Source organism: Homo sapiens, chromosome 16 (genome assembly GCF_000001405.40).
Source record: "Homo sapiens chromosome 16, GRCh38.p14 Primary Assembly".
Classification (NCBI taxonomy): domain Eukaryota; kingdom Metazoa; phylum Chordata; class Mammalia; order Primates; family Hominidae; genus Homo; species Homo sapiens.
In genome coordinates, this window is record NC_000016.10 from 58,555,189 (window position 1) to 58,570,068 (window position 14,880).

A 14,880-nucleotide genomic window follows, 5' to 3' on the forward strand; every position below is an offset into this window, starting at 1 on the left:
GAGTTAAGACCCTGTCTGCGGGGTCAGGGAAGAGATCCTTCACAGGAAACCTATCCACTTACCTGTTTTTAAATCTATCTAGTGCAGCAATCCCGAAATAATACATTTTGGATCCAAAAGGCTTGCGTAAGGCTTCAAGAACATATCGTAGAGCCAGACCTAGTGCCATGTAAGTGACCAGTCCTTTCTCAATTATACCACCAAATAGGCAGGCTGTTATATGTAACTCTTTATCAGGATACTGGGGAAAAAAACGATATTCTTCAAACAAGTTCCTTAGCATACAGTTAAATACTTCTCGTTCCCTCTTTATAGTAGAGTCTTTAAATCTCTGCAGCATTTCTAATACCTGGAAAAGCAAGACAAAAACAACGCACACATAAAGGAAACAATTACTAAGAGCCTTTCTCAAATATGCTTAACAAAAGACTATTAAGTAGAACATTTACCAAAAGAGCTTGAGACAAATATTAAGGTTTCAAAACACAAACCGCTATATCAGGGCACTTTGAGCTGGATTTCTAAAAACATTGAAAAGGACATTTATTTAAGACTGGCCTAAACAATAAATAAGTAGATCATCCTAGACACTCACCTCATCAACAGACATGGTTGGATGTGGTGGATGATTATATATTCGCTGGAAATAGCTGTTTGCTTCATCATCTATCTCTTTACTAAAGTGCTGGTTTGCCTCTGGCCACACCTGAGACAAGTCCGCTGTTGGAAACAAAAAAGGAATCAGTGGGCATTTAAGCCCTTCCTCCACTTCCCCATAAAACACAGCCAGCCAGAGACTATTATAGCTCTAACTTCAAGGGAAATATAAAAAAACTGGAAAAGGTATTAAGCGGTCAAGTTTCAGTATTAATGTGTGCTAGGGTAGACGTAAAAGATCCTTAACAAAGTGCCTTCCATAATTCTACATTAGTATTATCTTCATCAGGACTTATTAACACAAAAGTTAACTTGGTTCAAACTCATAACGCACTTACCCTTAATACAACCTCATTAGGTTAACAAATCTTTATCACTTTATAATAAAAATCACATTTAACATATAAGAATTATCATGCATGTGCATGAAAGACTGATGTAAACACAAAGCATGCTACAAAACATAACATTCAGACAAGCCTTTCACACTAACGTTATCAAGTCAGCTGGAATACTTTCAACCTCGTGTCATGACTATGCAGTCCCAATGACAAGGACTTCAGTCAATTATACCTATGGATTTATAAAGATGACTTCTATGAGTTTAGTTAGCATAAAAAATTACTAAGGAGGTGAAACAAAAATTGGAAACAGAAATCTGAAATTGTCCTTCTCACTCCTGACTTGCTTTAAAAAAAACTCAACACATGTTTAGGTTAAGTTCAAGAGTTACATTCGTATATCTACCACATATTAATTTCTCTTTATCATACCTACTTCTTACTTTTAGGATAAACACCCTCAGGATGCAGCCTCTTATTAACCACGACTTTGTTCTGGGAAGGAGTGATACCTCTAACTTTTAATAATTCAAATTTGTGAATTTATTCCCATTGGTCTAGGAGGCACATCAACACATGGCCCTACTAACACAAATGAGACATACAACTAAACATTTTTATCAGTCACACTTCACAATCACAGACAACACTACCACTTACAAGGTTTCATCTTACTCTGCTGGAATGTAGGCTGATTCAGTCCAGAGGTGCCCAGTTTCCTCTGTACAAAAGGGTCGTTATTCACTGCAGGGAGTCCAAGAGCACCAGTTCCTATACCAGTCAGGCTGCCTGTGCCAAGACCACCTACTAGAGAGAACGAAGGCAGCCACAAATCCTATCATTATTCATATTCTTGATTTTATTCACATCTCAGATATATTAATAAGACAGACTTTTAAAATAAAGTCATAGTAACTCTTACTTTAAAAGTCAGAGTCTTTGTTAATTCCCTTATTACATCTATTCAATTTTACAGAGCCTATAAACTAGGCAGTAACGGATAATCCCCAAATTTCTTTAGCATCTGGAATTATTTATATTCTTGATAATGTGCAAAAAATTAATGTATACATTCTCAAAGCACATACTCCTATACCCAAGGTAGTTAAAATAAGGAGCTGGCTGGCTTTTCTCAATGATTCAAATCAAATAATTTCATGATACTATCTTCTAAAGTTACCATGAGTCTCAAAACTTCTTTATTCCTCTCAACTCCGACAAAAGGAATCTTACAATAATTAGAGCTTTGCTAGGAAGGCCTTAATAAGTTCAGTGACGTTTATTTAAATGAATTAATCAAAGCTAGAAGCATACAGTAGCAACGCTAACTAGATTAGAGTCAATGACAACATGGAAGTCCTTAGGTTTTAGTGCCCAAACTTACAGTGTCAACATAAAAGGTACAAGGGGCTAAGAAGATGTAGGTACAAACAACCACAACAACAACAACAAAAAAAATATAGCTTTTATTTCAATGTAAAGTTACATGGAACAATATCTGGGAAAAAAACTGAAAATGTGGCCAAGCGCAGTGGCTCATGCCTGTAATCCCAGCACTTTGGGGGGCCAAGGTGGGTGGATCACCTGAGGTCGGGAATTCGAGATCAGCCTGGCCAATATGGTGAAACCCTGTCTCTACTAAAAATACAAAAAATTAGCATGGCATGGTGGCGGGCACCTGTAATCCCAGCTACTCGGGAGGCTGAGGCAGGAGAATCGCTTGAACCTGGGAGGCGGAGGTTGCAGTGAGCCAAGATCGTACCACTGCACTCCAGCCTGGGCAACAAGAGCGAAACCCTGTCCCCCACTACCCAAAAAACAAACAAACGAAAAAAAACCTTAAAATGTTTTTGGGATGTCCTATCATTTTCAAGGTTGGTGAAATGCAATAAGGCAGGCAGAACATATGCCTGAACCTGATAGGTACAATAGTTTCTACCTTTATTATACCAACCTGAATTCATAAAGCTGTGAGTTTTTGATCTAAGCCCTTTAGAATGTGATGCACATACATGTTACCACTTATACTATCATTTGTTAATAAAAAATCCTTACTAAATAATTCAACTAACTTTACAACTACAAATATCCTAATTCTTTCCTCCAATTAGACTGAATTGAATATAATCTGTTTTTCTTTTCCCAACTTTGGATACTGAAGTAGCTTTCACAATTTCATTTAAGCAGCTTTCCTTATCACAGTGACTCCAAACCCCTTACCAAACACTAAGGCATAACTAAGGCAAACTTATGAATAATCCATGCTCTCATTTGCCTCCCCCTTACCTGGAAGCTGTGATGAAAGTCCTCCAATACCACTGAATGCAGTGGTCTGATTGGGGGTTGAAAGGGGTGGAAATGCTTTTGCTGGTGACTGAGGGGTACTGAATGCAGAACCCAAATTTGGAGGAAAACCCTGCATACTCTGGGTGTGAGGGGCAGCTGAACCACCTATACTAAGAGATGTCATTCCAGCAAGAGGGTCAATCTAAAGAAAAACATTATAAAAATGTATTAAACATACTTCGAGGAAAGGCAGACACATGTAAAGCAATCTTTAACAACAGCTCTTCATAATCTTAAAAAGCAAACTATTACACCCACTCAATCACGATGATACTTAAATCCCAGTTATCAAGTCAAGTGTGTCAGTCACTTTTCTTACTGTGTCACATACAGAATAGGTTTAAAGAGTTTGCCTTTGACAAAGTACAGGTTGAGTATCCCTTATTGAAAATACTTGGAACCAGAAAAGTTTTCAATTTTGGATTTTAGAATATTTGCATATACATAACCAGATATCCTAACAATCCCATCATGGGGATGGGACCCATGTCAAAACATGAAATTCACTTGTTTCACATATACCTATATACACATAACCAGAATGTAATTTTATACAGTTTTTTTAAAAGAATTTTTTGCATGAAACATAATTATGACTATGTTTTGACTCAACACGTAGCATCAGATCAGGTATGGAATTTTCTACTTGTGGCGTGTCATGTCAGTGCTCCAAAAGTTTGATTTTGGAGCATTTTGGATTTACAGATTAAGGATGCTCAACCTATAACAGAGCCATAAAAAGGGCTACAAAATCTAATGAACAACACTTAAGATGAACTGCCCTAAACTAAACATTTAGTAGTGACATGGGACACTTATTATATTAATAAATCCTCACAAATTCCAATAAGCCACTTTAAAACAATCAAGCTAAATTTAAGTAAGTTTCAACATAAATAAAAGTATTAGAAATTAGAAACGAATCTCCCAAAATAAATTTAGTCGAAATTTGGGGATTTTTGAGGTGGGGGAAGATCAGCTCCAATTTTGAAAACAAAAACAAGGTATGCTATTCACCAAAATATGTATTTTTAAAATATCTAATAACTGCACTTCCAGGCTTAAGTGTGTGGCACTACTTCATACCTTCATGGCTATAGAAAATGACAAGCAAATGCCTTTTATAGGGAAGTAGCCACTGAATCACTAACTTTTAGCCTCTTTCTTCCTTAAAACCCAATCTGCCATTCAATGCATCTGAAAATAGAAGCGCAATATGTTGCTCCCAGAGAGAAGGGGGTGGTTGATGTCAGGGAGTAACTTAAATGTACCTTGTTTTTAAAAGAGCAGTTCAGTTGAGAGCTGAAGAGCCCCAGTTATAACAAGTCGTTATGCTCTAGCACTGTTGCTTGGCCCGTGAAGCTACAAACAAGACACATCAGGTTCAAAGGCAGTGCTTATGTCTCAAGAGTCTACGTAATTCATATTTTAAAAAGAAACCCTCTTCATTTACCTAAATAAATTGTCTGTATATTTCCTCTTAGAGTCACGTTCTATTTGATGATAAAATCTATTGTTAACTACAATGCCTATTTACATATCTCCTTTAAAATAAGTGGATGCTAGACATGCAGTTATCTAAAATGTAATAAATTCAGACAATTTATTAATGACATAGGAGCTTATTCTATTCCAAATCTATGGCAAATGAAGATGTATCAAATGTAGCACTCATTTACCTGAACAGGAGAAATGGCATCTAAGCTGCTAGCACTAGGAGGACGTCCTTTTGGCATAACTCCAGGTGGTGGTTGTCTGGCCTTATTCATAACATTACTGCAATTGGCTACCATGGTGAGGATAGTTTCTGATAGCTCCTGAGAAACACTCCTAAAATAGAGGGGAAAAGGTAAAAAATATCAGTTCCTATTCTCTAGCACATGTAAGTAAACCAACCGATCTGATTTTTTTTTTTTTTAAGATGGAGTCTCACTCTGTCACCCAGACTGGAGTGCAGTAGCACGATATCAATTCACTGCAACCTCTGCCCCCCGGGTTCAAGCGATTCTTCTGCCTCAGCCTCCCGAGTACCAATCTGATTTTCTAATAAAGAAACTTTGTTGAGGCTGGGCACGGTGGCTCATACCTGTAGTCTCACTGCTTTGAAAGGCTGAGGCGGAAGGATTGCTTGAGCCAGGAGTTTGAGGCCAACCTGGGCAAGATAGCGAGACCCCATGTCTACAAATATTAAATAAGTATTAAAAAGTCGAGGCTGAGCGTAGTGGTTCATGCCTGTAATCCCAGCACTTTGGGAGGCCAAGGCGGGGGTATTGCCTGAGGTCAGGAGTTCGAGACCAGCCTGGCTAACATGGTGAAACCCCGTCTCTACTAAAAACACAAAAATTAGCCAGGCATGGTGGCGCATGCCTGTAGTCCCAGCTACTCGGGAGGCTGAGGCAGGAGAATCACTCGAATCTGGGAGGCAGAGGTTGCAGTGAGCCGAGATCGCGCCACTGCACTCCAGTCTGGGTGACAGAGTAAGACTCCGTCTTCAAAAAAAAAGTTAGCTGGATGTCATGGCATGTGCCTGTAATCCCAGTTACTTGGGAGGCTGAGGTGGGAGGACTGATAGAGCCCAGGAGTTCGAGGCTGCAATGAGCTATAATCGCACCACAGCACTTCAGCCTGGGTAAGAGATGAGAAGGGAAAGCGGAAGGAAAACTTGCTGGAGCATGTAGCTAAATTTCTGCCACATCCCATCCCTCTGCATCTGTCACTCATCACTAGAATTTTCTGAGTACTGGCTTTCTCTTGAAACTAATTTGCACCTCTGAAATGAACTAGTATATAGTACAACCAAAATATATTAAAATTTTCCAGAAAACATTCCATAGCTTCAACCACTTTGTCAAAAATTATGCCCAAACCCAGACATATCAAAGCAAACAGGCATGCAATTTTTATACTAGTATATCACAGTCTAAGATAATACATGTACTTATAGACAAAAACACCATGCATAGTAATTACCTTTAACAAGCACATGAAGCAGTGACTGACCTCTAAAACAAATGTCAAGTAGGGTAAATGTTTACTTGACAATTAAACCAATTTTCCTATCTTAGGTTGCTATTACAGGTTGAGCATCCCAAATCTGAGAATCTGAATACCAAACGCTACAAAATCTAAAACTTTTTGAATGCCAATGTTTAAAGGAAATGCTCATTGTAGCATTTCGGAGTTTGAATTTTGGAATTTGAGGTGTATATTAAGCAAGTAAGTATAATGCAAATGGTTTTTAAAAAATTTTTTAAACCAAAATCCTAAATACTTCTGACCCCAAGCATTTCAAAGAAGGGATACTCAATCTGTATTGCCTCATACAACTATGGGGTCCCTTGTATTCAGAAGCTCTACTCGGGCCGGGTGCGGTGGCTCATGCCTATAATCCTAGCACTCTGGGAGGCTGAGGCAGGCAGATCACCTGAAGTCAGAAACTCAGGTCAGAAGCTGAGGTCAGAAGCTCAAGACCAGCCTGGCCAACATGGTGAAACCCCATCTCTACTAAAAATACAAAAACTAGCCAGGCATGTGGCGGGCACCTCTAATCCCAGCTACTCAGGAGGCTGAGGCAGGAGAATTGCTTGAACCCAGGAGCCAAGATTGCACTACTGTACTCCAGCCTGGGCAACAGAATGTGAGACTCCGTATCAAAAAAAAAAAAAGAGGCTCTACATGGTAGCTGGGAGGTGGAGGTGGCTTACACCTGTAATCCCAGCACTTTGGGAGGGAGGCAGTGGTGGGAGGATCGCTTGAGGAAGGAGTTTCGAGACCAGCCTGTGAACACAGCCAAGACTTCATCTCTACAAAAAATTTTAAAAATTAGCCAGGTGTGGTGGCACATGCCTGTAGTCATAACTACTTGGGAGGCTGAGGCGGGAGGAGTGCTTGAGCCCAGGATTTCAAGGCTGTAGTGAGCTATGATCACATCAATGCACTCCAGTCTTAGAGAAAGAACAAGACCCTGTCTCTAAAAAAAATAAATTAAAAAAAAAAGCGGCGGGGGGGCGGCCAGGCACGGTGGCTCACACCTGTAATCCCAGCACTTCGGGAGACAGAGGCAAGCGGATCACAAGGTCAGGAGTTTGAGACCAGCCTGGCCAACACAGTGAAATCCCGTCTCTACTAAAAATACAAAAAATTAGCCGGGTGTGTTGGCAGGTGCCTGTAATCCCAGCTACTCGGGAGGCTGAGGCAGGAGAATCGCTTGAACCCGGGAGGCAGAGGATGCAATGACCTGAGATCGCGCCACTGCACTCCAGCCTGGGTGACAGTGCGAGACTCCATCTTAAACAACAAAAAAAAGCAGTAGCAGCCGTACATGAACTTAGTCTTTAAATCTTCCCACCTAAATTCAGAATGTTACTACTGGCATTAAGAAGTAAAAGTCATCACTCAGAAAAGAAAGCTGTTTCACATTTGGGGGGAAAAAATAAGACTAGGGTGCTAACAGTACTGAATAAGCCTATATTACATTAAATCAATAGAGAAAAATCTATGAAAATTTGTACTTGTGCCAATAGCAAAATAACAATAGTCTGAACACAGACAACAAATGAAATAAACGCGTTGTTTTATGTCCACTGAAGCCAGGAAGAAAAATACAGTCCCATACCACATAATGACATTTCAGTCAACAAAATGGTATATGGGACCACATATACAATGGTTGTCCCACATATTATAATGTATTTTGCTGTAACTTTTCTGTTTAAATATATAAATACCATTGTGTTATAATTGCCTTCAGTATATTCAGTATAGTAACATCACTGTATGGGTTGGTAGCTTAGGAGGAATAGGCCATACCACATAGGCAAACTGTATACAGTACATTATACCATCTAGGTTTCTAACAGTATACTCTATAATGCTCACACAAAGACAAAATTGCCTGATGACACATATCTCAGAAATGCATTCCTATTGTTATGCAATGCAGACCACAAAAAAGAAAAGGGAGCCTTATACTCCTAAAGGTATTGGTCTACTTATTTACTTTAGAAACAAGTAGAACATTAGTTTCCACAAAAATGCTCAAAATAATTAAAAGTATTTCAAATTTAAGGAAACAAGAGGTCCTCTGAAGCTTCATTTACAAATGTATCTGCATTCCAAATACTCCACAACAATTAAAACTTCATAGAGATACCGTATCTCCATGTTGTCCCATATCTCACCATAATAACAGGCACATACTATATTAGCAAGGCTGTGGGGAAATAGATGCAATAACACTGCTGGTTTTACAAAATAGAAAAATCCCTATGGAGGAAAATTTTGCGATACCTAACACAATCGCAGATGAATTTACCTATTATTCTGACACATCCACTTCTAGTAGTCCAATTATACATTGGTAAAAATGATGGATGCAAAACACTGCTCACTGCAACACTGTATGTGATACAAAAGCGAAAACAATGCAAATTTCCACCAGTAGGAGACTGGTTGACTACAGTACAGAACAGCCATTCAATGGAGTATTATGCAGCAAGTAAAAGAAATAAGGAAGCTCTCTAATTGTATGGAGTGAACTCTAGGATATAAGATCAAGAAGCAAGTTGCATATTATCTCTTCTACAGTGAAGGATAGGGATAAATATACGAATAAGTATGTATTTGTTTTTAATATAAGATAACCCAAAAATATTAATGATAGTGACTAACTACAGGAGAAAAGGAGAACAAGGTAGAGGTATCAGAGTTCAAAGGAAGATTTCTCCAAATGTATCTTGCTTTAGAGTTTTGACTTTAAAACCACACCTATATTTTACCAATCACAAAAACAAAAGCAAACAAACAAACCACTAAATTAAAAAGAAACTGTTCCAAAAAGACCAGTGCCATGGGTTAGAAAAACAGGGTACCAAGCAGTAGATGGTAATTATATTATACTGCATTGAATCCAAAATGCCTTCAATTGTGTAAGCCACACTAATATTTTATGTCCTATGCAAAAACAAAAAAAGTAATTCCACCAATTGTAATATAAGACACATCACCAATGAGACACATCATTTCAGAAATGTTAAAGTAGGAAGAAAAATAAAATGGGCACTTTAGAATAAAATATGGTAAATTAAAATATTCACCTTTACTATTTAGGGATAAATTCTTATTTCTTACACAGTTTCAAACTTAGAAGTGGCAAGAATTGGCCGGGTGTGGAGGATCACCTGTGGTCAGGAGTTTGAGACCAGCCTGGCCAACATGATGAAACCCCATCTCTACTATAAATGCAAAAAATTAATTAGCTGGGCAGTGGTGGCGCGCACCTGTAATCCCAACTACTCGGGAGGCTGAGGCAGGAGAATCGCTTGAACCTGGGAGGCAGATGTTGCAGTGAGCGAAGATTGTGCCATTACACCCCAGCCTGGGTAACAAGAGAAAAACTCCGTCTCAAAAAAATAAATAAATAATAAATAAATAAAAGAAGTGGCAAGAATATTACAATTAACTCCCACAAATGCTTCTCACGCCAATGGTATACATTTGCCTTATTAACCTAACCATTATTTCTATACTTTTCGCCCTGAAGCATTGGTTTGGATATACCATGAATTTATCCCTAAATGCTTCACTACATGTTTTCTTCTTTTTTTGAGACAGGGTCTCACTGTCGCCCAGGCAGGAATGCAGTGGTACAATTATGGCTCTGCCTCTGCCTCCTGAGTTCAGATGATCCTCCAACCTCAGCCTCCCCAGCTGCTGGGACTCCACGCATACAGACCATGCCCAGCTAATTTTTAAATGTTTTTTTTCAGAGACGGGGTTTCGCGACATTGCCCAGGCTGGTCTCAAACTCCTAAGCTCAAGCAATTTGCCCACCTCAGCCTCCTAAAGTGCTGGAGTTACAAGTGTAAGCCACCATGCTCAGCCTTCACTATATATTTTCTATGAACAAAAACATTTTCCTACATAGCCATGTAAAATCAAACATCAGAAGCTTAACAATGATAAAATAAATAGGCCATGTTCACATTATACCAACTATTCCCACAATGCTCTTCAAAGCTATTTTTCCCATTGCATTAAGTTGTCACCTCTCTTCAGGTCATTTAATCTGAAAGATTTTCTTAGCCTTTACGTGTTCTTCTTGACTTTATTTTTTTAAGTACAACTCAGGGCCAAGTGCAATGGCTCATACCTGTCATCCCAGCACTCTGGGAGGCAGAGGTGGGCAGATCACTTGAGGTCAGGAAGTTCAAGAGCAGCCTGGCCAACATGGCAAAACCCCATCTCTACCAAAAATACAAAAAATTAGCCAGGTGTGGTAGTGTGCGCCTGTCGTCCCAGCTACTCAGGAGGCTGAGGGAACTGCTTGAACCCAGGAAGCAGGGGTTGTAGTGAGCCGAGTTCGCACCACTGCATTCCAGCCTGGGCAAGAGAGCAAGACCCTGCCTCAAAAAAAAAAAAAAGTACAAGTCAGTTGTTTTGTAGAATGTCCCTTGATTTGAGTTTGTCTGATGTTCTAAATTCAAATTAGGTATTATAACCTTACAGAATAAATTACCTTGTATTCTTCTCAGTGCATTTTATGAAACACATGATGTAGGTTTCAGATGGTGATCACTTTGATCAGTAGACTAACATGGTATCTGACAGGTTTTTCTGAAGTTGTTTTCCCCCTTTGTAATTACAATGTAATTTGTGGAGAGATATTTTCAAACTACATAATTATCCTGCTCTTCAAACATATATCCATTACTATTAACACACATTAAAGATTACAACTCCATCGTAATTCTTCTATATTTATTAGTTGAAATAACTTTCCTTCTCTGGCATTTATTATCATCAGTATGGACTCAAAATACTTTGGATACATTATCTTATTAAATTTTTCAACAAGTACTGCTAATAGATCAATTAAAGAAATTAATTGAAACCTGGAAGTTAGGTAAACTGCCTTCTTACAATAAAAACATTTTGCGCAATTTTAACAGGCAATTAACTTTCCAGAATATTCCACTGCAGATGGATTAAAATGTATAAATGTAAAAGGTTACACTTTAGAACTTGAAACTGTAGAACATTTAGAGCTTATAGAGCAGAGTGCTTTGGAATGGATAATTATTTGTTGTACAAGGCAGTCTTGTGCACTGTGGAATGTTTAGCCAGTATGATTGGTTTCTTTTTTTTATTTTTGAGACGGAGTTTCACTCTTGTTGCCCAGACAGAGTGCAATGGCAAGATCTTGGCTCACCCCAACCTCTGCCTCCCGAGTAGCTGGGATTACAGGCATGCGCCACCACGCCTGGCTAATTTTTCTATTTTTAGTAGCGATGGGATTTCTCCATGTTGATCAGGCTGGTCTTGAGCTCCCAACCTCAGGTGACCCACCCTCGGCCTCCCAAAGTGCTGGGATTACAGCTGTGAGCCACCGCGCCCAGCCTAGTATCATTGGTTTCTACACTACTAGGTATTAGAGGCACGTTTCTCTCTAATTATAACAGCCAAAAAGACCATCAGGCCAAGCATGGTGGCATGCGTCTATAGGACCACCTACTCACAAGGCTCAGGCAGGAAGACTAAGCCAGGAGTTCAAGGTTGCATTGAGCTATGATTGTGCCTGTGAACATGCACTGTACTTCAGACTGTACAACAACACAGTAAGACCTCATAAGAAAAAAAGAAAGAAAGAAAAAAAAAGGCTGAGCATAGGTGGCTTATGCCTATAACCCCAGCGCTTTAGGATGCAGAGAGGACTGCTTGAGCCCACGAGTGAGCCATGATCACATTACTACACTCTAGTCTGGGTAATAGAGTGAGACTATTTAAACAACAACAAAAAGAAATAATGCTGGCCGGGCGTGGTGGCTCATACCTGTAATCCCAGCGCTTTCGGAAGCCAAGGCAGGAGGAGTGCCTCAGCTCAGGGGTTTGAGACCATCCTGGGCAACATGGTGAAGCCCCATTTCCACAGAAAATTAAAAATAAAAATAAATTTAAAAAATAGGCATGCATGGTAGCATATACCTGTAATCCCAGGTAATTGGAGGCAAGACATCATCTCAAAAAAAAAAAAAAAAACCTTCTCATAAAGCAAAACGACAGGGTATGGGCTGACTTCCTCTCCTTCATAAAAGCAACTAGAAAAGTGTCTGAATCAACTTTTTCAGAACTTTGGAAGTTAACCAAAGGCTTATAACAAGTGGGAAATTTTTATTCAAGAGACTATCAAGTTTTCTAGCACATTAATTTGCCCTATTATTCCCATCTCCAGCTCCACAGCCAGCTTAGAAGCTGACAGCCCTCAATCACAATGAAAACCAGAAGCCTGAGAGGTGAATCAAAACAGGGTTAAAACATCTTCAAAGCCTCCTTCTCAGTGAATTGTCATTATTTCATCTGTATAGGGAGTCTGTGTGAGAACACAATGACAAGGTTGGATTTATTTGACCTGAAAACTGACCCAAACAAAAACCTTTTCTGCATGAGGTGTTTACAAAAAACATTTGAAAGTAACTGTTTTAAACTTATTGCCTATCTGAGGTGGAAGACTACTACAGTTGGAGCAAACTACATACAGGCTAACTAAAAATCTGTAAAGAAGGCCGGGCACGGTGGCTCACGCCTGTAATCTCAGTACTTTGGGAGGCGGGCGAATCACCTGAGGTCGGGAGTTTGAGACCAGCCTGCCCAACATGAGAAACCCTGTCTCTACTAAAGAAAATACAAAATTAGCTGGGCGTAATGGTGCATGCCTGTAATCCTAGCTACTCGGGAGGCTGAGGCATTAGAATCACTTGAACCCAGGAGGTGGAGGTTGCAGTGAGCCGAGATTGTGCCACTGCACTCCAGGCTGGGCAACAAGAGCGAAACTCCATCTCAAGAAAAAAAAAAAAATCTGTAAAGAAAAACTTTGAGCCGGGTGCAGTGGCTCAAGCCTGTAATCTCAGCACTTTGGGAGGCCAAGGCAGGCAGATCACGAGGTCAAGAGATCGAGACCATCCTGGCCAACATGGTGAAACCCTGTCTCTACTAAAAATACAAAAATTAGCCAGGCGTGGTGGCATGCTCCTGTAATCCCAGCTACTCAGCTGAGGCAGGAGAATCGCTTGAACCCCGGAGGTGGAGGTTGTAGTGAGCCGAGATCGTGCCACTGCACTCCATCCTGGGCGACAGAGCGAGACTCCGTCTCGATTTTAAAAAAAAGAGAGAAAAAAAAAAAACTTTGGAAGTAAAGACTAAGGTGGCTGTGAATTGCCTGGCTTAGTGCTGAATTGATTCCCAAGATTAGGTTTAAGAAAATCTCGTCAATCTTAGCTGACAACAAGGCTAACCAAGCAGGAACTTCAGTAGCCAACTATTATAAAGAACAGAATTAGTTCAGGAAAGTCACTAAACAAAAAAAGGGCAATAACGAACAATGTGCTCTGCTGAAGAAGGAAGATCTGATTCCAGGAAATGCCATATTATTTAAAGTTGTCTGTTTTCAACAAAAAAATTACAAGACTTGTAAAGAAACAAAAGGGTGTCCCATGCAAAGGGCTGGAAAGCTATGTAGAAATGATCCTTGAGGAAACACTGCTGTTGGACTTACTAGACAAGGAATTCAAATCAGTTACCAAACACATTTATTTTCATTTTATTTTGGTTTTTGAGACAGAGTCTTACTCTGCTGCCCAGGTTGGAGTGCAGTGGCACAAACTCGGCTCAGTGTACCTTCCATCTCCTGGGTTCAAGCAATTCTCTTGCCTCAGCCTCCCAAGTAGCTGGGACTATAGTCGCCCTTCACTATGCCTGGCTAATTTTTGCATTTTTAGTGGATACGGAGTTTTGCCATGTTGGCCAGCTGGTCTCAAACTCCTGATCTCAAGTGATCCACCCACCTTGGCCTCCCAAAGTGCTGCTGGGATTATAGGCTGAAGCCATGACACCCAGCCACTACAGAACACGTTTAAAAGAAAATATATCAAAAGAACTGAAGGAAAACATAGGAATACTATCTCAAAAAGCATGTCCATAGAAATTAGCAAAAAAAAAAACCAAAAAACAGAAATTCGTTTTTTCCCATCAGATACTACACTCTACAACATACCAAACAGAAAAAGTACAGTAACTGTAATAAAGTTTCACTAACCACATGTCCCACCACACATTCAAGCAGACAAAATAGTTCATTTGAAGATAGATCAATTAAAATTATCCAGCCTGAGAAAATGAAAAAAAAGGGGGTGGGGGGATGGGGGCTGAGAACTCAAGGACATGTGGAGCACTACTGAGTGTGCCACCACAAACATAATGGGAGTACAAGGAGAGAAGAAAAAGGTACGGAAAGATTTGTAGAAATAATGACTGAAAACCCGATAAATTTTATTAAAAACATTAATCTAGACACCCAAGAAATTCAATAAATTCTAAGTAGAATAAACTCAAAGAGATTCATACCTAGAATAACATAATCAAGCTGATGAAAGAAAAAAGACAAGGAGAGTATCTTACCAGCAGCAAGATAGAAGCAACTCATCACATACAATACTCAATAAATTAACAGCTGATGTCTCATCAGAAACCATGGAGGACAGAA

General features: G+C 39.6%; 1 protein-coding gene and 1 non-coding gene across 5 annotated transcripts in view; both read right to left on the bottom strand.

Moving 5' to 3' along the window:
• Positions 1-14,880, bottom strand: part of CNOT1 (CCR4-NOT transcription complex subunit 1) — a 109,876-nt gene that overhangs the window by 35,238 nt on the left and 59,758 nt on the right. For 2 of the 4 annotated variants that reach the window (NR_049763.2, NM_001265612.2), the window contains exons 17-21: positions 5,024-5,174; positions 3,285-3,486; positions 1,674-1,805; positions 596-720; positions 63-349 (exon numbers count right to left, since the gene is read on the bottom strand). Coding sequence is in view for 3 of the 4 variants with exons in the window: in NM_001265612.2 (NP_001252541.1) it covers positions 63-349; positions 596-720; positions 1,674-1,805; positions 3,285-3,486; positions 5,024-5,174 (897 nt within the window). In the remaining variant the exon portion in view is untranslated. Of the gene's footprint in view, positions 1-62; positions 350-595; positions 721-1,658; positions 1,806-3,284; positions 3,487-5,023; positions 5,175-14,880 lie in introns of all 4 variants that reach the window. The other 2 variants (NM_016284.5, NM_206999.3) reach the window with 1 other exon arrangement.
• SNORA50A (small nucleolar RNA, H/ACA box 50A) lies at positions 4,608-4,743 on the bottom strand. Its single transcript, NR_002980.1, has one exon. It is a non-coding gene; the product is annotated as a small nucleolar RNA, H/ACA box 50A (small nucleolar RNA).